This window comes from Homo sapiens, chromosome 2 (assembly GCF_000001405.40).
Source record: "Homo sapiens chromosome 2, GRCh38.p14 Primary Assembly".
NCBI lineage: Eukaryota > Metazoa > Chordata > Mammalia > Primates > Hominidae > Homo > Homo sapiens.
The window spans coordinates 152,740,608-152,767,928 of record NC_000002.12 but is presented as its reverse complement, the minus strand read 5'-3'; the positions used below and the strand labels follow the sequence as shown (position 1 = coordinate 152,767,928).

The following is a 27,321-nucleotide window of genomic DNA, read 5'->3' as shown; positions in this document are numbered from 1 at the left end:
TCATGCCTGTAATCCTAGCATTTTGGGAAGCTGAGGCGGGCAGATCACTTGAGGTCAGGAGTTCGAGACCAGCCTGGCCAACATGGTGAAACCCCGTCCCTACTAAAAATACAAAAATTAGCCAGGCATGGTGGCACACACTTGTAATCCCAGCTACTTGGGAGGCTGAGGTGAAAGTATTGCTTGAACCTGGGAGGTGGAGGTTGCAGTGAGCCAAGATCAGGCCGCTGCACTCCAGCCTGGGTGACAGTCAGACCCCTTCTAAAATACACACACACACACACACACACACACACACACACACACACAAACTCACTACTTCCCATGAGAACTCTTCCTCCAAAAAACTATTCCACCTCATACTATACAACAAGTTGTTGTTCATTTGACCCCTTCCTTACAGGAAGACAATCAAGAGCCTCATAGGTTACTATTGTATTCAGTGCCATATCCAGGATCTCAGGAATTCTCCACTGCCCCCCTGTTCTATAGTAATTTCATCACAATATTCTGTAACCTATACCCTACATAAAGTTATAAAGTTAGCCAAATGTTTAAAATCCTACATAAAATAATGGAAGAAATGAAGAAAAAAAGCAGGAACACACATGCCATACAAAGGAAATGAGTAGAGGTTATGGCTCTTCATTTTTGAAATTGATAAGGCTCTAGTCTAGTATTTGACTTATTCTGTTCAATATCTATTCCATGTTCCCTTGGCTTTCAGCCAAAACTCTAACAAATATAGGGATTTTTTAATCAAGTAGGCTAACCAAAACTTCATTCCTGAGGGATTTGAGCCTCTGCCAATGTAGGTGTTGTAATATTTCTCTAACTAAACATGAGAGTCTAACATGGAAGCAGCTCGGACCTTTGTCCATATTCCTTCTGGCTTCCACTGTATTGCAGTAACTGGATTTCCCATTGGTAGATGGATTATTAATCACTGCAATCAGTACCAGAATAGCCATTTTGCCTATTGTCTAGTAATATAAGGAACTTTAAATGGCCAAATGTAGTCTCAGCTTCAATTCATTAACAGCACTGTGTGTAACCTTACAGAAGTATTTTTCCTTTGAGAACAAAAATAGGCTGCCTATGGAGATGGGAAGAAAATTTTTTATGGGTTATGTTTTTTGGTTTTGTGAGTAGAATTCTTTGGCTAGAGGCTACATTACATGGGGAACTTTAATAATATACAAGGCCATAGTAGTTGAAAACTTTGGCAGACCTTGCGACGCAAACGTCTGTAGGGTACTGGCAGAGAGAAGTCTTGTTTAGCTAATAACTCTTTAGAGAAACAGCTCTTTCTACTGGGGCATTTTCGAGAATGAACACCACATCTTAGAACTCCAGGTAACCCTATGACCTCAGCTTTCCATTCTGGACCAGATATTATCCGATTCACTTTGTCATCAACATAGATGAGGGTTTTTCAACCTTGGCACTATTGATATTTTGGACTGAATTATTCTCTCTCCTGGGGAACTGTCCTCTCTGCTGGGAACTGTAGAATCTTTGGCAATCTGGCCTGTTGACTAGTTGCCAGTAGCAGCCCCCGATTGTAACAATCAAAAACATCTCAAAACATTGCTAAGTAATTAGCTAAATTTCTATGTTTTGCCCCTGGAAGGCAAAATTGCCCTTGCTTAAGAACCACTGACATAGATGCATCCTTTCATTTTCCTCAAGTCCTGAGTAAGTTGTATGATCAGATTCCCATCCTGCTTCCTACTGTCATGCAGCCTCTCTTCATTCAGTCCGCAGCCTGGCCTCACGAGGGTTTGGTATAGATAATTGACTGATGTTGAAACTCAAGCCCAATTTATAGATGATTCTGTGTAATATGTTACTACCAGCCAAAAATGAGGTGGTGGGGGGCATAAACCCCCATTCATAGGTGGTAGCAATGTGCAGTGAAAAAGAAATTTTTCCTAGGGAGTTCAATATAAATTTCAAGCAGTTCATACTGTTGTCTCCTTGGCTAGAAGAAGTATGGTATGAAATAAGGATTATGTATATTCAAGGAGAGTGAACTAGTAGTTTGGCTGGATTGCCAGGGACTTGACAAAGGACTGGTGCCAACTTAAGAAAGGTGGGGAAGAGATATATAGATGGAGCTCTTTAAATGGACCCAGAATTGAGAATATTTCTGAGCTATGTGAATGCTCACAACAAAGCCTTCATTGCGAAAGAGGCTCTAAATAATCAGGTGGACAGCATAACCTATACTGTAGATGGTAGTCTCTGTCAAGCCAATGCTTAATGGGAGCATAAAATGCTAGGATGGTGGGGTAGTCAGATGGACCCACACTTTCAGAGGCTTTCCTGGCTGCTGCTGCCTTTCTATCTCTGCTGCCCCACTCCCACCCCACCAACTTCTCTCCCTCTCTCTCTTTATGGCATCATATCTTGGGGGATGAGCCAGCTACCTGATAGCCAATTAATTGCATTAGATGAGGTAGCACTTAGCAGTTTTGTCCCCACTGGTAGATACATTATGGTCTTAGATTTGCTTTCCTTGCCTCTGGCAGCCCTACTATTTACTGCATAATTTATACATTATCATGGATTCCCACCACATTGCTCTGGTCAAGGAACTTACTACCCTGAGGAGGTAAGACAACGTGCTCAATTGCTCAATTCTTTTTTCTTTTTCTTTTTTTTTTTTTGAGACAGAATCTGTCTGGAGTGCAGTAGTGTGATCTCGGCTCACTGCCCTCTGCCTCCTGGGTTCAGGTGATTCTGTCTCAGCCTTCCTAGTAGCTGGGGTTACAGGCATGTACCACCACAACTGGTTTTTGTATCTTTAGTAGTGACAGACTTTCACCATGTTGCCCAGGCTGCTGTTGAACTCTTGGCCTCAAGTGATCTGCCTACCTCAGCCTCCCAAAGTGCTGGGATTACAGGTGTGAGCCACCACACTTGGCCACACTCAATTCTTATTTTGTTGACTTCTCTCTTATAATGCACCTTCAACACTGAAATAATCTATTCAAGAGTTAGTTATTAAGCTAGCTGACAGTTAACACTAAAATGGCATCTTTCTGGATGCAATGTATGTTTTTATCCAAGAACTGATTTTTGCTGGTTTCTCCCATGCCCATATTACATGGGTTCAAGAACCAAGACACTGCCGGATGTTTCTATTACACCCAGTGACCCAATAATAAAGTTTTTGCTTTCTGTTCTTCTGAGTCTGAACTCTGTTTTAAAGGTTTTAGTACTTAAGGAAGTTCAAAAAGAAAACTGGTTCAGAAGAACCGGAAGTTCAAACTGCCATCTGGTAATTTTAGATTCTGTATGCCATGAATAATCATGCAAAAAAGAGGGTCACTATATTAGTTGGTGTGTTTTAACATTATAATACAAATGCTGCCACATAATAAGCAAGGAAGAATATAGAAGGAAAATATATTTGTTCTCGTACTGCCACATACAGTGGCAAAAGATGAACTAAGAGCTGAAATGTGTCAGAAATAAAGCTTTGGTCGCCATTATCAGGGAAGAAACTTAGCCAACGTAGTAGCCAAAGCAAAGATAAAATAGAATACATGTGTATAGAAGGGAAGGTGTCATAACCAAATGCTTAATTTAAATGACAGTAACTTTGATCTGTATTTTCTTGCTCTCATATATAAAGTGTATTTTAACAAGTTTCCCATCTTTTTGTCCTTCTTAAAAATATTGTTCTAGTTCACATAAAAAAGCAATGTCTTAATAAGTATTAAAATGACTAGTATAATTTGTAGAATATCAATAAGAGAATGTGGCAAAACTAGAAGGGACATAATCTGAAGGTCCTGGCTTTGGTATTGGATATAGTATACAATGGCTACATTGTTACATATGAGTACTGTTGTAAGCTTAAGGGTGAAAAGAGAAGCTGACCAGCAGAGTGTACAGTGATTATTTGTATTTGTGGTTGCTTGATATCCATTCAACCATCCCAAAATAATTTCAGATGCTGCCTTCAACTAGAGAAGCCAAAGGAGTAGGCACACAGTCTAATCTTGGCCAACTGGGCACTCTCTGCAAGGATCCATCTATATACATTATCCTGACCAGGCTATTCCCACTATCAGACAGTCCCTTTGCTTCATTTTCCTTGACTCTCTGGCACTTTCTAGGTTCCTCCCCACCAGTCCTGATTCCCTTTTCCTTAGTCAGATGGTGTGACAGTTAATATTAAGTGTCCACTTCATTGAATGATGCAAAGTATTGTTCCCGGGTCTGTCTGTGAGGGTGTTGCCAAAGTAGATTAACATTTGAGTCAGTGGACCGGGAGAGGCAGACCCACCCACAATGTGGGTGAGCACCATCCCCTCAACTGCCAGAGAGGCAATAATAAAGCAGGCAGGTGGTGGGAGCAGTGGACTTGGTGAGTCTTCTGGCCTTCATCTTTCTCCTGTGCTGGATGCTTCCTGCCCTCGAACATCAGACTCCAAGTTCTTCGGCTTTTGGACTCTTGGACTTACACCAGTGGTTCTCAGGCCATTGGCCATAGACTGCAGGCTGCACTGTTGGCTTCCCTTCCTTTGAGGTTTTGGGACTCGGACTGAGCCACTACTGGCTTCCTTGCTCAACTTGCATACAGCCTATTGTGGGACTTCACCTTGTGGTCGTGTGAATCAATTCTTCTTAATAAACTCCCTTTCATGTATACATATATCCTATTAGTTCTGTCCATCTACAGAACCCTAATACAGATGGTTTCTGGCAGCTGACATAACCAAGAGCATGGGCAGAAATAGGAAAATAGACAAATATAGAAAATCTCTTTTTAAATCTGACTTACCAGAAGTCTGTCAATCATATCTTTTCCAGGAAACGACTTTTGGTATTGGATATTGTCCCCACTTCTTTGGTGTGAGTCTCCATTGATTGTATCCTTATCTTTCCTATTTCCAATCTTTCTTGTGTGTGTGGTGGGGGCGGGGATGTTACTCTGCTGCTTGTGCTTTTTATCTGCATTCTTAGCTCTTTAGCTTTCAATAGTACTTTCGTCCTGATAAATGTATTTGAAGTTATAAATTACCCTTACACAGTGTTTTATCTAGGTCCTACAAATTCTGACATGTAGTATTTTCACTGTAGTTTAAGTATTTTGTTAAGTATTATTCTTCCCATTCGACAGGTAAGGAAACCGGGAAATGCTAAGATATTAAGTAACAGTTGTAGTTCAAACTCATTACGTTGTATTAACTAAAGAATCATATCTTGATAACTACAGTAATATTCTTTCTGATAACACTTAAGGTGGAACTGAATTTGGGGACATAATTTCTTGATGAAACAGCAAGATTAATAATAGTTTAATTTATTCTAAAATGTCTTTTCAAGTCCCTGAGACTAATCACTAGCCACAGGAATACTTACACCCCGTTTATCTTTCACAAGTAACTAAATAGAATGCTGTAAGCTACACATAAGGAGATGAGATCATCTGAGTCAGTTTCACAATAGAGATGGATTCCAGCTGCTAGATAAGCTCATTTTGACTTGTTTTGTTGCAAATGACAAAAGCCAATGTAAACTGCAAAGGCCAAAAGACAGAAATTTATTGACTCACGTATCAAGAATGGCAGGATTGCCACTGGGCTTCAGGGACCAGGGTAACGCCATTAGCAATATCCGTTATCAGCCTTATTCTTTCCCACTGAGCCTGGCTGAACTACAGCTGCCAGCATTTCCTGGGCTTGCATTTTCCCAGCTTCGTCACATCTTAATTTCAAGCTGAAAAATCCTGGGAAGAGACATACTTCACTGAAGTCATTTCTCTATTCTACTCATTGTAGCCAGGCAAAATGAGATTAGGATTAGCTCAGCCAGAGTTAGGTGACTATCCTTGCCTAATCATTCTGCATATAGATGATTTATATTTGGACCCTGTGTCAGACTGGAGAGAGGAGGGTCATTTCCCAAAAAAGGGGAGTAACAGTCCAGAAGAATTAGGATTCCACAAAAATATCTTACGGATACATCTCTCTCTATATTTATCTATATTAATATATATCTTGTAGGTATATATAGTCATGTTTGGCTTAATGACAAGGATATATTCTGAGAAAAGCGTCATTAGGCAATTTCATCATTGTGTGAACATCAGAGTATACTTACACAAACCTAGATGGTATAGCCTACTACACACCTAGGCTATATGGTATAGCTTATTGCTCCTAGACTATAAACCTGTACTGCATGTTACTGTACTGAATATTGCAGGCAACTGTAACACAATGGTAAATATTTGTGTATCTAAACAGAGAAAAAATAAAGTAAAAAATGCAGCAGTATAATCTTACGGGGGGATTCACTATCATAAGTACAGTTCGTTGTGACCAAAACGTTGTTATATGGCACATGACTGTCTAGGGTGTACATATCTCTATCTAGGGTCTACTGTTAATAACTTTCCTAGTCATTAGACACAAACAATCTGGAGGGAGTTACTCACATTGGTGGTGCGTGGGAATACAGAGTGGTGGAGAGAAGATAAATTGATTCTGTTACTTGTGTACATCTTTGCAATGAAAGGGCTCTTTGGAGTCAAAGGGTGAAGAGTTTAAGCGTGCAGGAAGGAAGGCAGGGAGTGAAAATAGACTGATGGCAACCACCACTCTGGTAGGAATACTTAAGCCATGGGATTGATATTTAGATACACACACACACACACACATTTCAGATAATTTAAATTGGAGCAGTATTAGTCATTTCCAACCAAAGAGTTTTGAATAGTAAAAGAAATGCGAGACTTTTAGAAACCTTGTTTAGTCGGTAACAACATTCAGTAGATAATTAAGGGAACACACTGCACAAATTCATTTCCCACTTAGCCTGAATAAGCAGTTTGACTACTTAATGGTTTCTTATTGTAAGTTTTCCTATGGCCAGGGAAAACAGCTTTGTAAGTAGTCCATCTTTCTAAAACTGAGGTAACTTTCTAAACATTAAAAGTCTTTAGTAACATAGGGGAAAAATTAAGGCTTAATTACTTAGAAAACAAAATATCACAATTACAGGAGCACATTTAATTACAAAAATTATAAAATTATATTAACTATATGTAGTTTTTAATATCTAGTATCAAAATACCTTTTCTACTTTGGTAACTAAATTTTTGAGATTAAGAACAAACTAGTTCAATCATTCTCACATACAAAAATTTCATGTTTATATTTATTAAAAACAAAATAATGCAAGTTCTGTTAAAGTAACAATATATACACCAAGATAAATATTTGGAATTGTGGAAACAGAAATAGTAAAAATTTCAAATTTTTTCTCAATATCTTAATGACTTAAATAATTTAGCTTTTTTCAGGCATTTTTTGTTAAAAATAAACTTACTTAATTTTCAACTTAGGTCAATGTGCTTTTTTGCTTTTTTTAAAGACAAAAATTAGTAAAAATGGCAGGTACTAGGTTTGCACTAGCTAAAAAAATAATGTTTACAGTTGTCTAGATGTAACAATTTTAAAAACATACAAATTCAGTATGTAGTATGAAAATACATTAAAAAAACACATAAGGAACTATGCCCCATAAAAAATATAAATGCAACTTCTATTAATTATATGAATATCAAAAATTAAATATTCTGATTTAAAAGTAGCTTCTATAAAAGTCGGAGTAGTAGGCATTATTTGCTTTCCTAAATGTATAAATAAGAAGTATTTCTAGCTCAACTAAACAGAAATATCAGTATTTCTTAGCAAAAAATGTAGTACATACATGAAAAGGCAAGCATTGTCCTGTATTCAAGTTTTTGAGTTTAAATTCCATTAAAATGTTTCCTACAACTTGAAAGAACTACACACACAAAAGTAAAAAGATGAGGTAAACATCTTATACTCTGAAGAAAGTACTTAATACTCAGATATTCCCAATTAATCTGTATCTTAATACTCAGACATTCTAAAACAATGCTTTAAAAGGTCTTCCATAATGAGGATGATTGTGATAAATATCTGAACTACATAATGAACAGCAGGTTTCTCAGTCTTCTGAGTAGACAGTGATGCTCCTTCTTGTTATTACAAAACAATCATGATTAAGTTTTGCCAACAATATCGCTCCAGTGTGGGTTTACATGAGGCACCATGCTACAGTAAGAGCAGCTACGATGCCATTCAAAATCGCCATGCTATAGCCCATGTGGAAAGAATGTCCAGTCAGTTTCCTAGAAAAAAAGAAAAACACAAATCAAAAAAGAAAAATGTAACGTGGTATAACAAAGACACCAAAAGTTTTCATCGAAAATACTTATGACCTTGGAGTGTATTTCCCAAATGTTCACATATGAATACAAAACTTAAAGAATATTGGACATCTGCAGGATAAATAGTGGATAGATCTTATTAAGTCCTGTGTCAAAACTGTACTGGTTAACAATTACAGTTGTTTCAAATCATTACTGATGAGTAATGCTGAGTTTCATCCCTATTATTTCTTTACTGTGTTTCATTGTCACTGTGTGTAGCCATAACCTAATTCTAAGGTATAAGTTTTGTTATTTTACAAACAGTTCTTTCATTAATTAGCGGTGTGTTTCCATGCTGTCTGTTCTTACTTTGATTTGACTTAAAATACATATTATTTCAAGTATTTGTTCTGTTTGCACCACTTTTAGGTTATATGAAGGAACTCCCTATGTCTTTCATAGATATTTCAGCTATCATTCTAATAGGTTACTTAATTGAAGTGGTTTTCAATGAGTTCTTAAGAATCAGCAAAGACACATCTCTTTTATGATTGCTAGGAGTGCCAACTAGTTTAATAACTCTTATGTGCATGAATATTCCCTGACATTTGTTTCCTTTATCTTGTAACAATCTTACAACAGTTTTTCCCACTAACTGTATTGCAATAATACTATTTGCTTATCCTAGTAAGAATCAGACATATTAAAAAGAAAAGAAGGTAGTATCCAACTGAGACTCTCTAGAAGGCAGAACAGAATACTCTCCTTTCTGGAGCAAAACAAATTGAGGACACACAGGAAGGTGCACTAGCAGAAGTAAAAGCCAAAAGACAAAAGCAGTAAGGGCCCTGGACTGAGACGGTCATAAATACCCATATCCTCTCCTCCTTTCCTAAGGAGTAGCCAAAGCCAGAGAAGCACTTAGCTGTGAACTAACACTTGAAGAGCACCTCATAGTGATTCCAGTCGCACAATATCTGTGGCAGAGATTGAAGAAGGTACATTCTTCAAAGAAGAGCCCTTTGCATTCATCTGAAGCTACATAGACCCTGATGCTTCCTGATGGTTCCCTGCTCTGTTCCAAGGGAGTTATTATTTACTTTCGACTCAACCTTTCTTTACCCAACTAGGGCTAGTCAAAGATGCTTCTCATGTGTTATTAAGGGTTAATCTACCTACCTATATTACCTATCTACATCGTAAAATAGGTATAATGCTTTGTCCCTTTAAAAAAGAAATTCCTCAAATATATGTTGATGACTAGTGAACAGAAACCTAAAGTTGAACAATCAGCATTATCATTCATCATAAAATATTTAGTGACGATCCAAAAAACTTTTAAATTAATACAGTTCGGTCTTCCATATCAGTGGGTTCCACATCTGCGAAATGAACCAAGCAGGTAGAATATATTTTGAAAAAAAAAATGCATCCGTACAGAACATGTATACACTTTTTTCCCTTGTCAATCCCTGAACAATAAAACAACTATTTATATAACATTTACATTGTATTAGGTATAATATTATAAATAATGTGGAGATGTTTTAAAGTATATGAGAGGATATGCTTAGGTTATATGCAAATACTAAGCCATTTTTGAATGAGACTTCAAGTATCCTCAGATGTTGATACCTGTGTGGAATCCTGGAACCAGTCCTTCACAGATAAAGGGGGATGACTGTACTCACCCAATAAAGTTAATCATCAAAAGGTTTCCAGAGTTAATTGTTCTGTTTTAGTAGTTTGTGATCCTCACAATCCCACAAAAATAGAAAAACCTTTAAAGTTCAGTTTACTAAGCCGACAACTACAATGTTGGTAGAATTGAATTTTACTGAGATGTACATGCTCAAATGTTCAGTGACTTCCTTACTAAGCAGGCAAAGCAATGCATTTTAATGGCAATGAAAAAATGCTCGGGAGTAGTGGTTCCTAGTCTTTGTCATCTCAAATGTACCATATTCCCACTGGGAACACTGTAGCAATTGTCACAGACTACTGCTAGGTAAAGGACTTAAATCTTTGAAGAATCACTTGCTTTAATTTAAAGCTTTTCAAAATATTCACCATGATTTTCCTCTTTGGAGGAAGACAGACAATCCCTGCAGGCTTTCTCTCTTGTGACTCTCATTTGTGATCTCTAAAGTCTGTTAACAAAGACTGAAGGAATTATGGTTCTCCTTTGTCAAAACTCTATAGAGGACTTATTTAAAATTGACTCAAGTAAAATGAAAATATTATCTTCAATTAATGAGTTTAATATCTTCAATAAATGATAATTAAATACAATGTCTACCTCATCCAATCTATATCTATACATGCATTTCACTTTTTTAATTAAAGCATACCAGTAAAATGCAAATGTCTAACATTTATATACAGTTCAATGCATTTTTACTGTGGTAGACTCTCATATACTCACCAACCACATAAAGATAGAGAACATTTCTGGCACTGCAAAAAGATCCCTTTTAAATATTCAACTTACCTCCTGCAGATCTTGAGGTAACTGCAATACTGAGGGCTGTCACCAAGATTAGTTTCACTTGCTCTTGAAACTACATCTACATGGCATCATACAATAAATATTTTTCTGCGTCTGCCTTCTTTTGCTCAGTACTGTCTTTGTGAGATTCATCCATGTTGTATGTAGTATTAGTTTGTTCTTTTCTACTGCAGTATATAGCAAAATGTATTTACCCATTTTACTACTGATGGGTGTTTCCAGTTTGGGGCTCCTATACATACAGGTACTATGAACACGTCTTCGGTGGGTGGTGGGAATCTGCACTTATTTCTCTTGGATAGATCCTAGGAGTAGAACTGCTGAGTTACAAGGTAGATATACATTAGGCTTTAGTAGAAAGTATGAAAAATAGTTGTACCAATTTACACTTCCACTATCAACGTATGAGTTTAAGTTGTTCCACATCACCATGAACACTTGGTATTATCAGTGTTATAAATTTTAACCATTTTAGTAGGTCTGCAGAGTATGTTGTAGTGGTTTTAATATTTATTTTTCTGATGATTAATGTACTTACTGACCATTCAGAAAGCCTCTTTTTTGATGTTTGTGTTCAAAACTTTTTCTCATTTTTTTCTATTGGTTTATAGAGTTCTTTACGTATTCTAGATACAAATCTTTTGTTAAAGATACGTGTTGTAAATAATGTTTATTATGGTGTGTCTTTTTTTACTCTCTTAATAAGATCTTTTGATGAACAGAAGTTCTTAATTTGAATAAAGTCCAGTTAATATTTTAAAAAATGGCTAGTGCTTTTTTGGTGGCTTTTTCATTAAATCTTTGACTACTCCAAGGTTATGAAGATATTCTGTATCTTAATGAGGTTTTACTTTTCTTCTTTTGATATTTAAATCTGTAATTCATCTCAAATTAATGTGTATTTTTTGTGTTATAGGACACTGAACACAAAAGAATGAATTTGGTCCTCTACCTTACACAATATACAAAATATACTCAAAATAGACCAAAGACCTAAATACAAGAACTAAGACTATAAAACTCTTAGAAGGAAACATAGGTATAAATCTTCATGACCTTGAATTAAGCAACAGATTCTTAGATATGACAACAAAAGCACAAGAAACTAAAGAAAAAACCTAAATTAGACATCATCTAATTAAAAACCTTTGTGCTTCCAAGGACATTATTAAGTGAAAACCCATAAAATGGAGGTAAATATTTGCAAATCTTATATCTGATAGAGTCTACTAAGATATAAAATAACTCTTATAAGTAAAAAATAAAAAGACAAAAAGTCAAATTTTTAAAAGGGCAAAGGATTTGAATAAACAATTATCCAAAGATATACACATGTAGGGTCCAGCCCCACAGGGTCGGTGGGTTTTCTCCCCATTTGTGGAGATGAGAGAGTGCAGAAATAAAGACACAAGACAAAGAGATAAAAGAAAAGACAGCTGGGCCCGGGGGACCACTACCACCAATTCGCGGAGACCAGTAGTGGCCCCGAATGTCTAGCTGCGCTGTTATTTATTGGATACAAAGCAAAAGGGGCAGGGTAAAGAGTGTGACTCATCTCCAATGATATGTAAGGTTACGTGGGTCACGTGTCCACTGGACAGGGGGCCCTTCTCTGCCTGGCAGCCAAGGCAGAGAGAGAGAGGAAGAGAGAGAGACAGGCTTATGTCATTATTTCTGCATATCAGAGACTTTTAGTACTTTCACTAATTTTGCTACTGCTATCTAAAAGGCAGAGCCAGGTGTACAGGATGGAACATGAAAGTGGGTGGACCAGGAGCGTGGCCAATGAAGCACAGCATCACAGGGACATGGTTAGGCCTCCGGATAACTGCAGGCGGGCCTGACGGATGTCAGGCCCTCCACAAGAGGTGGAGGAGTACAGTCTTCCCTAAACTCCCCCGGGGAAAGGGAAACTCCCCTTCCCGGTCTGCTAAGTAGCAGGTGTTTTCCCTTGGCATTGACGCTACCGCTAGACCATGGTCCGCTTGGCAACGCGTGTCTTCGCAGATGCTGGCGTTACCGCTAGACCAAGGAGCCCTCTGGTGGCCCTGGCCAGGCATAACAGAAGACTCCCATTCTGTCTTCTGGTTACTTCTCACTATGTCCCCTCAGCTCCTATCTCTGTATGGCCTGGTTTTTCCTAGGTTATGATTGTAGAGAGAGGATTATTATAATATTGGAATAAAGAGTAATTGCTACAAACTAATGATTAATGATATTCATATATAATCACATCTATGATCTATATCTAGTATAACTATTCTTATTTTATATATTTTATTATAGTGGAACAGCTCATGCCCTCGGTCTCTTGCCTTGGCACCTGGGTGGCTTGCCGCCCACATACATACAAATAGCCAATAAGGACATGAAAAGCTGATGATGCTCAATGTCATTAGTTATACGGAAATGGAAAACAAAAACCACAAGAGATATAGCACATCTTACTCACTACTTGGATGGTTATAATTTAAAAAAAGAAAAAGAAAACAAGTGTTGGTGAGGATGTGGGGAAATCAGAAGTCCTGAACATTGCTGGTGGGAATGTAAAATGATACAGCTGCTGTAGGAAACAGTTTGGAGGTTTCTTAAAAAGTTAAACACAGAGTTAACATATGACCCAACAATTCCACTCTAGGTATATATCCAAGAAAACTGAAAACAAGTCACACAAAAACTTGTACCTGAGTGTTCATAGCAACATTATTCCTAATAGTAAAAAAGTAGAACTACCCAAATGTCCATCAACTGATGAACGGATTTAAAAAATGGTATATCCATACGGAAAACCATGCAGCCTTAAAAAGGAATGAAGTACTGACATATGCCACAATATGGATGAACCTTGAAAACAGTATGCTAAGTGAAAGGAGTAAACACAAAAGACTACATTAAAAAAAAATCTGTACGATTCCATTTATATGAAATGTCCAGAATAGGCAAATCCATAGAGACGAAAAGTAGACTATGGGTTTCCAGGGGATAGAGGCAGGAGGAAATGGTGCAGTGATTGCTAATGGGTATGGGGTTTTCATTTTGGAGTGATAGAAATGTTCTAGCAGTGATGGTTGCTGAATATTGTTATTCAGTAGTTTTTAGTGAAAATATTAAATACTTAATCATTTTAAGAGTAAAGTTTTATCCTATGTAAATTATATGAAAAAAAAAAACAAAAAACAAAAAAACACTTTACTGTCAGACATTAAAAAGGACCTGGACCGGGCGTGGTGGCTCACGCCTGTAATCCCAGCACTTTGGGAGGCCGAGGCGGGTGGACCACAAGGTCAGGAGATCGAGACCATCTTGGCTAACATGGTGAAACCCCGTCTCTACTAAAAATACAAAAAATTAGCTGGGCGTGGCGTGGTGGCGAGCGCCTGTAGTGCCAGCTACTCGTGAGGCTGAGGCAGAATGGTGTGAACCCAGGAGGCAGAGCTTGCAGTGAGCTGAGATCGCGCCACTGCACTCCAGCTTGGGCAACAGAGCGAGACTCCGTCAAAAAAAAAAAAAAAAAAAAGAGGACCTGAATGAAGGGAGGTCTCCACCATAACCTGGGAATACTCAGCATTGTAAAGGTGTCAATTTCTTTTTTTTTTTAATAAACACCTATAAATTCAATGAGATCTCAGTAGTAGTTCAATAGGATTTTTCTTGGTAGAAAATTGGCATTTTGATACTCAGTTCAACTGATACAATAAATGTGCAAAAAGAATAAATATTCTAAAATTTCAAATCATAACCTAAAATCAAAGTAATTTTAAAAAGAAGTAAACTGATACAGAAATAAAAAAGGCATCTGAATAGACTACAGCATCTAAAAACAGATCTATGTTTCTGAGCGTATGTATGTGGGTGGTGGTGATGAGATGTTTTACCAATAAGGCATTTTTAGGTCAGAGGAACAAAACCTATAATTAATTCTTTACAGGTCCCTTCCTCCCTATTCCTAAGAATCAGTTTTTTATTTAGCAGTGTAGAAGTAATCAAGATTCAGCTTATTTTCAAAAGAGCTGTCATATCTACATGGAGTAAAAAGAATGGTGGCTTCCTTTCAGTCTCCTGCTTTTATTTTTTTTTTGAGACAGGGTCTCACTCTGTTACCCAGGCGGGACTGCAGTGGCATGATCATGGCTCGTTGCAGCCTCCACCTCTCGGGGCTCTGGTGATCCTCCCACTCCAGCCTCCCAAGTAGCTGGTGAGGCAGGAGAATAGGGTCTGGAGGCAGGGAATCTAAGGCCAATCTGTGCTAACCTCCTAAAAGAGAAACACCAAGATCTGGGGGCAGGGAATCTAAGGCCAATTTCCTAAAGTTCAATCAAAGGGAAAACACCTGGGTCTAGGGCAGGGAACCTAAAGCCAATTAAGGCACACTTCTTAAAGCTAAACTGAAAGGAAAAGCCCCATCTCCCCACACCGGAGTAACAAAGGATCAAAGACTATTATTCTCCCTACAACCTTCTCGCTTCCACTACATCTCAGATGGAAAGGGCAAACATCCTGCATAGGGTGCCTATTCACCTCAGCCTTTAATTAGCAAAAGACCAAATCCTTCATCCAGATGAGAGGCAGCCAACAGGGACCTCAAAAGGAGTACTTAAAACCCAGAAAACTTTGTAACCAGGCCCTTGAGCCGCTTGCTCGGGCCCAATTCCACCCTGCGGAGCACTTTCTCACTTTAATAAATCCCTGCTGTCGCTGCTTCGTTCATGTATTTTGTTCCTTTGTTACTTTGAGGGTTTTGTTCAATTCTTTGTTCAAAATGCCAACGACCTGGACAACTTACTCAAGGCATTCCTAAAAGTAACCCTGGTACTAGAGGCACGCATGACCAAACCTGGCTGATTTTTTGTAGAGATACGGTTTTGCCATGTTGCCCAGGCTTGGTTTCAGTTTTGTTCAGTTTCATCATGGAGTCTACTATGGATTCCAAAATGGTTCTTATTATTGCAGGTCATGACTTTTTATTTCCATACTCTGAAGCAGGAAAACACTGTTAGGCAAATGGTAACAGAAGGGTAGAGGGGTTTGAAAAGACTGAATAGAGAATATGTAATTTTTATTCATTGGTTCTTCTACAATTTCATGAAGAGAAAGATAAGGGAAAGGAAAGGACCTAATCCCAGAAGAATAAGCCTGATCAGAAGCAACTTACCTTTATTACGTAATTTAGATCAATAAAGCAAAATGACTATAATTTCTGAAATTCTGTGTAATAGTCTAACATGGTGATGGGAATATAAATTAATATAGCCATTATGGAAAACAGTATGAAGTTTCTCAAAAATCTAAAAATGAAACTACCATATAATCCAGCAATTCCACTACTGGGTATTTACCCAAAGAAAGGACAATCAGTATATTCAAGAGATATGTGTACCCCATGTTTACTGCAGCACCATTCACAATAGTCAAGATATGGACTCAATCTAAGTGTCCATCAACAGATGAATGGATAAAGAAAATGTGGTACATATACACAACAGAATACTATTCAGCCATTAAAAAAAAATGAAATACTGTCATTCCTGGCAACATGGATGAGTCTGGGGGACATTAAGTGAAATAAGTCAGGCATAAGAAGATAAATATCACATGTTCTCACTCACATGTGTAAGCTTAAAAAAAATGAGCTCATAGAAGTAGAAGGTAGAACTGTGGTTATTCGAGGTTGAGAAGGGTGGTGGGGTAGCCGGGGAAGAAACAGCAGTGGGTGGGGTGAGAGAGGATAGCAGGAGGTTAGTTAACGGATACAAAATTACGATCAGATAGGAGGAATGACTTCTAGTGTTCTATAGCACTTTAGGGTAAATATGGTTAACAGTAACTTATTGCGTATTTTCAGAAAGCTTTAAGAGAAGATTTTGAATGCTCACAATACAAAGAAATGATAAATGTTTTCAGTGATGGATATGCTAATTAGCCTGATTTGATCATTACACATTGTATGGGACTATCATTCATTCTGTATTCCACTAATGAATATGATTATTATGTGTCAACTAAAAATAAAAAAAAAGTCAAACGTGGGAAACTTGATCAGATAAAAATTAAAAAATTTCCATTCAAGTAAAACTACAGCATTATTTATTATTAATACTGCCAAACTTCAAAAGTGGGTAGTAGATAAAACTGCATTACTGAATGAGGTAAAAGAAAAAAACAAGAAAAAAAATCCCACGGTTTCATGGCAACATCATAGAAATGTTTCACTTTGAAGACCTTCCATTTTACTTCAAAATTTACAAGGCTTATATATTTTTGAAAATGGCATGACTATTTGTGGAGATGTTACTACAATTATTATTTGCATATACGAATGTGACAGGTTAAAACAAATTCACAAAGAAATTCTAAGTTGCTGACATTCTCTCCATGTACTTAAATACATTGCACAGATGAATTTTCCTAAAACATTCCTTTGCTTTAAAATGCTTTTGTGTTAACTGGATATAAAATGTAAACGAGCAGAGCACACAATATTATTAACAAGGTTAAGTTTCCTTAATGATACAAGCTTTAACCCAGGTTTTAAAAGGTACAGCAATGGACTGACAGACAAAAGAGGTACATTGTGTAAAGGGAAAGAAAAGAACCAGAAGTGGAACTCCAACTTAAGATTTCATGCTTCTCAGGAGAAAAACTGGACCAGATGAACCTAAGGTCGCTTCTATTTCCTTCCATTTCCTTCCTTCCGCCCTCCCTCCCTTCCTTTCTCTCTCTCTCTCTCTTTTTTTTTTTTTTTGGACAGAGTCTTGCTCTGTCACCTGGTCTGGAGTGCAGTGGTGTGATCTTGGCTCACTGCAACCTCCGCCTTTCAGGTTCAAACGATTCTCATGCCTCAGCCTTCCAAGTAGCTGGGGTCACAAACACACGTGTCACCATGCCCAGCTAATTTTTGTATTTTTAGTAGAGATGGGGTTTCACCATGTTGGCCAGGCTGGTCTGGAACTCCTAACCTCAGGTGATCCACCCAGCACTCCCAAAGTGCTGGGATACAGGCGTGAGCCACTGCGCTCGGTCTCAGTTCTACATTTCTGTAAGTATCCCAGGTAGCAAGAAATAATCCTAAAAAACACCTCAAAAAGATTATGTACAGTTTTTTACCTATTAAAACAGGTTATTGGTCAACATTACCTGTACTTAAAACTAGAACAATGATGCAGAGGATATAAATATTTTAGTCCCAAAGAGTCAATTAAGGAGACCTATCTATGATGAAAATTAATGGATATAATTTAACCTGCTAAATCAACATTGTTAAGATGTGACTCTTCATTTGACCATATGAAAGAATAAGTAGTAAAATAGAGTACCCAATGGCAAAACCAGAACGTTTCTTTAGATCTACTTCCATATCCTGAAAGATAAGCTATATAGAAGGTATGACCTTTTTCTGGTTCTAGAGAATTCCTTTCAATAATAAAAAATTCTACAATGAAGTACTTATGTAGTCCCTGATAGTGGTTAAGAGTTCAAGCTCTATGATTAGATAAACACGGGTCTGAGTGCCAGCCTTGCCTCTTACAAGGGGTATGAAGATGGCAACATTGTTTGACCTCTTTGACCTTCAATTTTCTTCTCCATACAATGGAAACAAAAATAGAATCTACCCTTACAAAGCTGTTGTGAATACCAGGTGTCTGGCACATAGTAAATGATCAATACATCTTAGCTATATAGTAAAGAAACTTAGGTACAGAAGAGATTTTTAAAAATTCTTCTGACCATCTACTTAGATTCTCCCTTCCAAGTAAAACACCTAAACCTAAGCTTGCTTTAAAACCAAAACAAAGAAACAAACAATAGTAGTATAAAAGCAAACCCAAGAAGTAGATGGAAGAAAGAAATGGGAGAATTAAAGGTCTCTCTCGCGTGCGTGCGTGTGTGTGTGTGTGTGTGTGTTTTTGTGTGTGTGTTTCTGCTTGATATTACCCTCTTCCTACATAACGACTTCTTTTATAATTCACTGGAGAACCCAGACTTCCATTATTTATATCTAGACTTTGTTCTGTGAAAATATAATGTCTAGCAATATATTTAGATTACTATTAAATAGTAACTTGCAAAGTGAATATATTATAAAAGAATTATAATTATTTTCATTTTTCAGGAATGGAATACATTTAAAATATAAGATTCAAATGAATTCAATGACTTTGGCAATTTAAGTGACTACATTCTTATATTTTGAAGCATAAATTAAAGCACTGAATAAGCAACTTCCAAAAATTCCAAATAAATTACCTTAAAAAGAAAAAGTTAGAGACAGAATAACAGAACTGAGCAGGTCTCTTGTCATGTTTCAGGTTGTTTATTGTTTTTATGCTAGTTTTGGTTGATCTGAACTGAATCTCTATACTACAATACTAAACACCAGACTCCACTCTGTTAGAATAATTGTTCCATGCCATATTTATTCCTGTATTTTCTTTCCCACACAGGTATTCCCACATGTCAGAGATGCTTTTATGACAGAACTCTTGTAATTTAAAATAATAACTTCATTTCCAGCTGATACTGCTTTAAGCAGAAAGCGCTCTGTGCTTGCCAGAATAAGAAGATATGTTAAAGGCCCATCTTAAGACCCAACTGGCTATTCGTTTCTGTGTCTGATTGGCTCAGAGGGAGAAGGGATGAGCAAGATGGTACTAATCTATTCCCCTTTCACACATCTGAGCTGCCTTTGTTTTCTCATTCTATCCCTAGCCCAGGAATCTCCAATTGCTAAAAGTTTTTAAGCTGTATAAGCTTTGTTTGGAGTTACTATCAGTTAGTTCTTTATCTGGAATCAAAAGATCTTAACACTAAACCTGAAACTTGGAAAACAAAACAAAACAAAAAAACAAGCAACACCGTATTTTATTAACTTAAAAAGCATTTCCTTTTTAGAAACGTAAAACTACATTAACTTTATTATATCCTTTTGTCCTAAAAATTACTTGTTAGAAATTGCTGAAGAGCAGACAAAGTTGATTTCAATGAACTTGACCATTGTTATTTAAGAAATCAGGGTTAGAATTTTAAAGAGAATGCTTCCCTAATTTCACTTCTTTGCTATGTCTCTCCTTAAGGAAAAAATAACACACATGACTTTGCCTCTTACTTTTTACTCTAAAGTTCTTTATAACTTTCTCAATTCCCTTTTCATTCACCAAGATTTACAGAATACTCGGTATCAGGTATTAAATTACATACAGGAGATAGAGAAATTAGTAGGGCTGGATGCGGTGACTCATGCCAGTAATCCCAACACTTTGGAAGGCTGAGGCAGGAGGATGGCTTGAGGTCAGGGATTCCAGACCAGCCTGAGCATATAGGGAGACATTGTTTCTACAAAAAAAATTTTGGCCAGGCATGGTGGCTCACGCCTGCAATCCTAGCACTTTGGGAGGCCAAGGCGGGTGGATCACTTGAAGCCAGGAGTTTGAGACCAGCCTGGCCAACATGGTGAAACCCCATCTCTACTAAAAATACAAAAACTTAGTTGGGTGTGGTGGCCTGTAATCCTAGCTCCTCTGGAGGCTGAGGCAGGAGAATTGCTTGAACCCAGCGGGTGGAGGTTGCAGTGAGCCAAGATCATGCCACTGCACTCCAGCCTGGGTGACAGAGTGAGACTATCTCAAACCAACAAAAAAAGGAAAAAAAAAAAGAGAGAGAAATGAGTAAGGAGTCAGTACTGCCTTCGAAGATAACAGAATCTTGTGACGTAGTAGATTGTTTTGCAGGCAGTATTACTGGAACATAAAGGAGCCATTCAGCTTGTAGAAGGGGAGAAAAAATTCCAAAGAAGAGCTAATACCTGAACTAAAATTGAGTATGAGGGATTTAGTGTTCTAAACACCTAACAGTATGCGCAGAAGCAAGAGACAATGGAGAGAATAGGAAGCTCAATTGTTTAATATGATCAGAATGAAAGACCTGGAAAGCTAGCTCTCTCCTCACTGGAGTTTAGTCATGGCTGTACTAGTCACAGAACTATTTTAACCTACCAGAAAATCTAATTCTCAATCTTTAAAATGAGGATAATAATTCCTTTCATTAGTGTTCTTATTAAAACTAAATGAGATAATATTAACAATTAGTTGTTGGCTGGGCGTGGTGGCTCACGCCTGTAATCCCAGTGCCTTGGGAGACTAGGCCAGGAGGATTGCTTGAGCTCAGGAGTTCAAGACTGTCCTGGGCAACTTAGTGAGACCCTATCTCTACAAAATAAAAATAAAAAATTTAGCCAGGCATAGCAGCACTCGCCTGTAGTCCCAGCAATTTGGGAGGCGGAGGCAGGAGGGTTGTTTGAGCCCAGGCAGTTGAGGCTGCAGTGAGCCATGATTGTGCCACTCTGCACTTCGGCCTGGGGCAACAAAGCAAGACCTCAAAAAAAAAAAAAAAAAAAAAAAAGAAAGGATAAAATCTCAGGATAAATAACAATTATCCAAGAAAAGATAACTGGCAACTTGTGGCAGGCCATGGTCAGACTTCCAGCTCAAAAAACCTTAAGAAAAGAAAACCTCTGACACTATGTCTGCTTTATCATCTGACGTATCTGTTGCTTTAGTAAACTTACACTTACTGCCTATGAGGGTACCATTATTTTTACTCCATTTTAGAGATGAGGAAGTTATAGCTTGGATATACTAACTGACTTGCTCAAATGTCCTTCTGCTAGGGTAGGTTGGATTTGGAAGCTACCTCTCCTGACTTCAAGACCCTTTTTAATTATATCAGGCTGCCTCTGGTAATTTATAGGTTGTTAAACAAACAAAAAGGGTTCCAAGTACAAAATTGGCAAGCACTGTCTCTCAAGTATTTCTTGTCAGTATTGCTCTGGGCATATGGACACTTGTCCCTCTTCAGCTACTCATATATAACACTGTAAATAGCACAAGCAAGAGCAGCTGGGCAAGGTGGCTCATGCCTGTAATCCCAGCACTTTGGGAGGCCGAGGCAGGTGGATCACTTGAACCCAGGAGTTCGAGACCAGCTAGGGCAACATGGCAAAACCCCGTCTCTATAAAAAATACAAAAATTAGCCAGATTAGCCAGATGTGGTGGCGCATGTCTGTGGTCCCAGCTACTCAGCAGTCTGAGGTGGGAGGATCGCTTCAGCCCAGAAGGCAAAGGTTGCAGTCACCCAAGATCATGCCACTGCTATCTAGCCTGGGCAACAAAGTGAGAACCTGTCTTTAAAAAAAAAAAAAAAAAAAAAAAAAAAAAAAAAGGTACAAAGCAAGCACTCATTAGCTGTATCACTTTATGGAAACAATAAAACCAATAGTTAATACAATTTCCTAGAGGATTTTGTTATATCTATGCATATCTCCATTCAGAACAGTAATGAAATATATCTTACACAATATGCATGTACTTTAACCCTTTACTTCAAGAAGCCGCGGTGCAATGCCATCAATATATTCATTAATAGTGACAGCACTGTAATTGATGGCTCTGAATAGTCCCCAGATAATGAGATTTCATGATACTCAAATATCAAGGCCAAGTTCCTGAACCATCTCTTTTGTCAGTAGCTTTTCTCTCCTACTGCAATTAGCCATCTGACATCTGTTTCATTAGTTCATGGCAATAAAGAATCTGATTCGACAAAGAGGCAGCTCTCCAAAATCTGTATCAAAGAGTAGTAGAGTCAATTCACTGTGCTCAATGTTAAATCTAGTCTGCATGGAAAAGAAATTTCTAATTTGAATACTAACTAACCCACTGTTTTTGACCTCCAAGGCTTATATATATGCCCAAGTTAAGAACCTGTAACACTCGTATATTATTTTATGCTAAAGATGTCCACATATACTTATTTCCAAGGAGGGAAAATCAGTGCTTGTATTTAGTTATGAGGATAGGCTAACTGTATTAAAGAAAACTGAGTGCTGCTGGAAATTTCAAATTTCAAGCAATTCAAACAAAAATCAACTTGTTCCCTTTTCTTGAATTGCATATTATGATTCAACTGTTTTATTTGTTCTCTATCTTCCTAACCCTCAATGTGAAGACGTCAGAGAAAAACCCTAATAACAATATTTTAAAGACCCAAACTAATGTTGAATAGAAAAGTAACATTATAATACAGGATGCCAATACTGAATCCTGAATGTTCCAGGAAATTCACATGTCAAAGTATTTTACTATCTGCTGCTCCCTACTACAGTTAACAACACACTCTCACACACAAATGTTAGCATCTAATTACATACAGAACGCTTTACATAGGAAGTAACACATGTAAAAGAGTAATAGATCATGTTACTCTCTAAAATAGTTACTAAAAACAATTTACCAAAAATTAATTCAAACTAAAATTAACTTGTTCCCTTTTCTTTCTCACTTACAATTTATTTTGCAGATTCCAGATTGCATTGTAAGGCAATACAATTTTTTTAAACAAGGATGCATATAAATAATGTTACATTAAATAAAAATTAAATTAAAAGCATGTTTTCTAAAATTGAGTGTCTGGATATTTATCAAATGTTATTTGTGGTTGGAAGAAGAAGAAATGGAAAGATGGATAATTCATAGTGATCAGACAATAAAGATTGATAGCATGAGGAAGGTAGCAGATACCCGCTGATTTGTATATTAACTGTGAAATAATGCAAATTCCCAATCTAATCTCATAGATTATATTTTAGCAGGCATTTGTGAAAAAAAGACACCACTCTTTACCTTGGCATATGCCTAGAAATCATGATATAACACTAATAACTGAAGTTTCCCTGCATTTTGGCCATGAACCCTATATCAAATAAGCCATAAATACAACCAATAATATATCTAAAGAGAAGATACCAAACTTCAAATTTCTCTAAAAATGTAAGAGTAAATTCATGCTGACTTCTATAAAATAGACATTCAACTGTGTCTTCCAATCTGCCTAGGAAATGCACAAATGTAATTATTCAAAGGACACCTGAAGAATACTGTAGCTTAAAACTGAGTCTAGTTATGATAAAAATATAATAATTTTGTTTGACTTCTGGTAATTCAAAATGACTATCTGTGAGATGACTTTGAAGGTTTTGGTCTCTTTTAAAAGCTATCTAGGAAAATTTTAAATCATGCCTTTCAAAAATATTTTTAGCATAAACATAGATGTTCGAGGTCATTAAACTGAACAGAGTTATACTCAAGGTGGAGATTTCTTTTCAAAACAATTCAATCTATGCCTCAAAAAGACTCATGTTCACTTGTAAGATTCAGGATAAGAAATCTCTTAGCATAGAAGTCAACTGAAGATTTAAGAACTGAGACATGCTCCAAAAACTACAATGCTGTGACTGCAAGACATGCTATTTCTATAGCATTTCTCAAAACAGAGAGAAAATTATTTAAAATCAGTTTCTCACTGGATGATTCAACAATCCAAGCTTTGGATTCAGATATCCAATTCACCAGAAATCTTACTTTTATATACCTTTGATCAGCATAAGCTTGCAATTTGAAATTTCCAGCAGTACTTTATTTCCATTTATATAGTTGAACTATCCTCACAACTTTAAATACAAGCATTGATTTTTTTTCCTCCTTGGAAATAAATATCTATGGATATCTTTAGCATAAAATAATAGTCCTATTAAGGAGCTTCCTTGGCATAGTAACTCCCTTCACAATGATTTCAGCTACGGAAATCATTACATGCTAGGGGCGCTTGCCACTTTACTCTGTATGCTTAGGTTATACAAATTAACTAGACTTAAAATTAATAAACCAACTTTACTTGCCAAGAATGACTTATTTTGGAATCCCCAGGTTGTTTTACATTCCTACAATGTTAATGTCCTACTGTGAAGGTTATTTGAGTATATGCTGTTAAATTTGACGTTTGATCTAAATAGTGAACATTTTTTCATGTCAGCAATACGACCCATCACTCATGTTATCATTTTTCCACTAAGCTTATTACTATAGAGTAACATTTCTATCCTAGATGTGACATTTATTATCAGAGTGGTTTTTATTTCTAGCACACTGAATAACTATTAACCTGCAGCTACATACTTTCACCACTAGATGAAGCTTGAGCATAGGTGATGTGAACCGTGGAGTGCAGTCTTAAAGTGGAATACAGGTACTAGGAGAAAACAATGGAAAAGACAGAGAAAGTCTTTTGATTTAGCAATACTGTGGGGGCAAAACTGCCACATAGCAAAAGCTCAGAGTGCCTGTTAATTGTCAATAAAATGATGCTGTTTCAATTAGTGAAATTCCTCCTATTGATGATGAATTTCATAATGCAGAGGAGGTAAGTTAGCTAGTATGGTGAATAAAAATAAACAGTCAGTTGCAAACTATGTTACTTGCAAATTACTTGACTTTGTGCAAGTGGCTTAAACTTCTGAGACTTGGTTTCTTCATCTATTAAAAAATGGAAACACCAGACTAATAGTAACACCTACGAGATGGGTGGCTTAGGAGGGCATTAGTTCCCCCATAATGTTTAATAGGACTCTCTTAAGACATCCCTAGAAATCCTAGAATATTAGCTTAAAAGGTAGACTTGTTCAGGAAAATGTACTGTAAGGCACAGCTGGTATCCATAACTAACATTTTCCCAATCAAGAGGACTTTAAAGTTCTGCTGCCAATGGCCAAGCCTAGAATGAACCCCAAAGTTCTTTTTTTTTTTTTTTTTTTTTTTAAAGAGCGTATCTTGCTCTGTCACTGAGGCTGGAATGCAGTGGCACGATATAATAGCTCACTGCAGCCTTCAACTCCTGGGATCAAACAATCCTTCTGCCTCAGCCTCCCAGTGGCTAGGAATACAGGCTCATTTCACCACACCTGGATACTTTTTAAAATTTTTTGTAGAGGCAGCATCTCACTATGTTGACTAGGATGGTCTCAAACTTCTAGGCTCAAGCCATCCTCCCACCTTGGCCTCCCAAAGTGCTGCGATTACAGGCATAAGCCACCATGCCCAGCCCACGATTATCTTTAGAGTTCTAGCTTTTCTTTGCATGCAGTATTTTTCCACGGGTAGGTAACATAGTTAGATGCATTAACTCCTGAAAACTATAATTAAAGCTGATAACCAAAATGTTAAAATACTGACTATATATACACTGTTACATTTGTCTCTTGGAAATCACTCACAAAACCCAGACAATGAACAGGGAAAAGTGATGAGAAATGAACTGGAGATGTTGAGTAGGTAGTGTAGAAGAAGCAGGATAATGAATTATAACATAGTGAAACATGGGAATGCCTATTTAGATATTCCAAAAAATCTAAACTTACTGCCTCTGCCTCTTGTTCTTTAACACTGTTAACAAACCTTTAATAACAACCAAAACAAGACTTTCCATCCAGTCTACTGGATTAAATACACAAAGAAAAGGATAGCTTACTAATTGACAAGTTTATATATGTGATATTGCACTATACCTTTTGACTTAGCGAAGTTTACAAATACATGGAACCATCTTTCCAAAAAATATGCCTGTTGAAGTCCATTAAGTACCTATCTGGAAATATATCTTGCAAAGTTCTCTATCTTGTATTTCCTAAACATCTTGTGCTTACGTAAAAGTGAAAATTGCTAAGATTTATCTAATATATAACAGTAAACATAAAAAATTTGAATAAAGGAAAATGCTTTTATTTCTAATCTCAACCTCTTCTTATGAATTATTGACCCAAACTGATGATTTCATTAAATATGTCACCTAATATTTACTAAACAGTAATAAATGTTACTTTTTTTCTTCCTCTGAGGGGTTTGTTTCTAAGGAAACACAATTGATAGTCACAGTAAATATGGTCTTCTCAAATGGTTTTCCCACTTCAACTATTCTGTTAAAAAAAAAAAAACCCAGGTACTTAAGTCTGCAGAGATAGCAAAAGACTACTATTTTAACAAACCAGTTATATATGATTTATTTTACTCTCTTACAAAAAAGTATATACATTGTGATCCCAATTTCAATTTTTAAAATATGCATAAAGAATGGAAAAATATATGTTAAAATGTCAGCAGTAATTTTCCTTGATTATTTCCATTTTTCTTTTTCTTTTTTGGAATTTTCAATAAAGAATCTGAATTACTTTTATATAATTAGGAAAAATGCTTACATTAATATTATTGCTTATTTTAGGTGATAAAATACATAACCTGTCACAAAGATATTTTTATAAAAGTATGATGTCGCATATTGATAAAATATATCAATTTGATTTTGAAGAAAATAAAAGTCTGAAGATTTCAACTTTCTCAAAATGTGGAGAAGTTGTTTCCCTGTACAAGGACTCACTCTACTGGTGACATAGAGAATATACTTAATCTGACATTTCTGAAATAACGGCATATTTTCCATAAACACTAGAGGGCAGGGTTTTGACTATAAAACAACTTCATTTGTATTTGTGTGTGTGTGTAAATATTTCACTTATATTTGGGTATATATATCATTTATATTTGTATACATGTACACATTATTTTGTACAAATACAAAATGTATATACACATTATTTTGTATAATAAACTCCTGGGCTCAAGCAATCCTTTTGCCTCAGCCTCCCAGTAGCTAGGACTACATAATATATATATGCATTATTTTGTATTTATACACATTTATAATGTGTATATATTCTATTTATATACA

General features: G+C 36.7%; 1 protein-coding gene across 14 annotated transcripts in view; it reads right to left on the bottom strand.

Annotated features, from left to right (window-relative positions):
• Positions 5,533-27,321, bottom strand: part of ARL6IP6 (ARF like GTPase 6 interacting protein 6) — a 44,749-nt gene continuing 22,960 nt past the window's right edge. For 13 of the 14 annotated variants that reach the window (NR_146422.2, NR_024526.3, NR_146423.2 and 10 more), the window contains one exon: positions 5,544-8,182. Coding sequence is in view for 3 of the 14 variants with exons in the window: in NM_001371972.1 (NP_001358901.1) it covers positions 8,089-8,182 (94 nt within the window). In the remaining 11 variants the exon portion in view is untranslated. Of the gene's footprint in view, positions 8,183-27,321 lie in introns of all 14 variants that reach the window. The other variant, NM_152522.7, reaches the window with a different exon arrangement.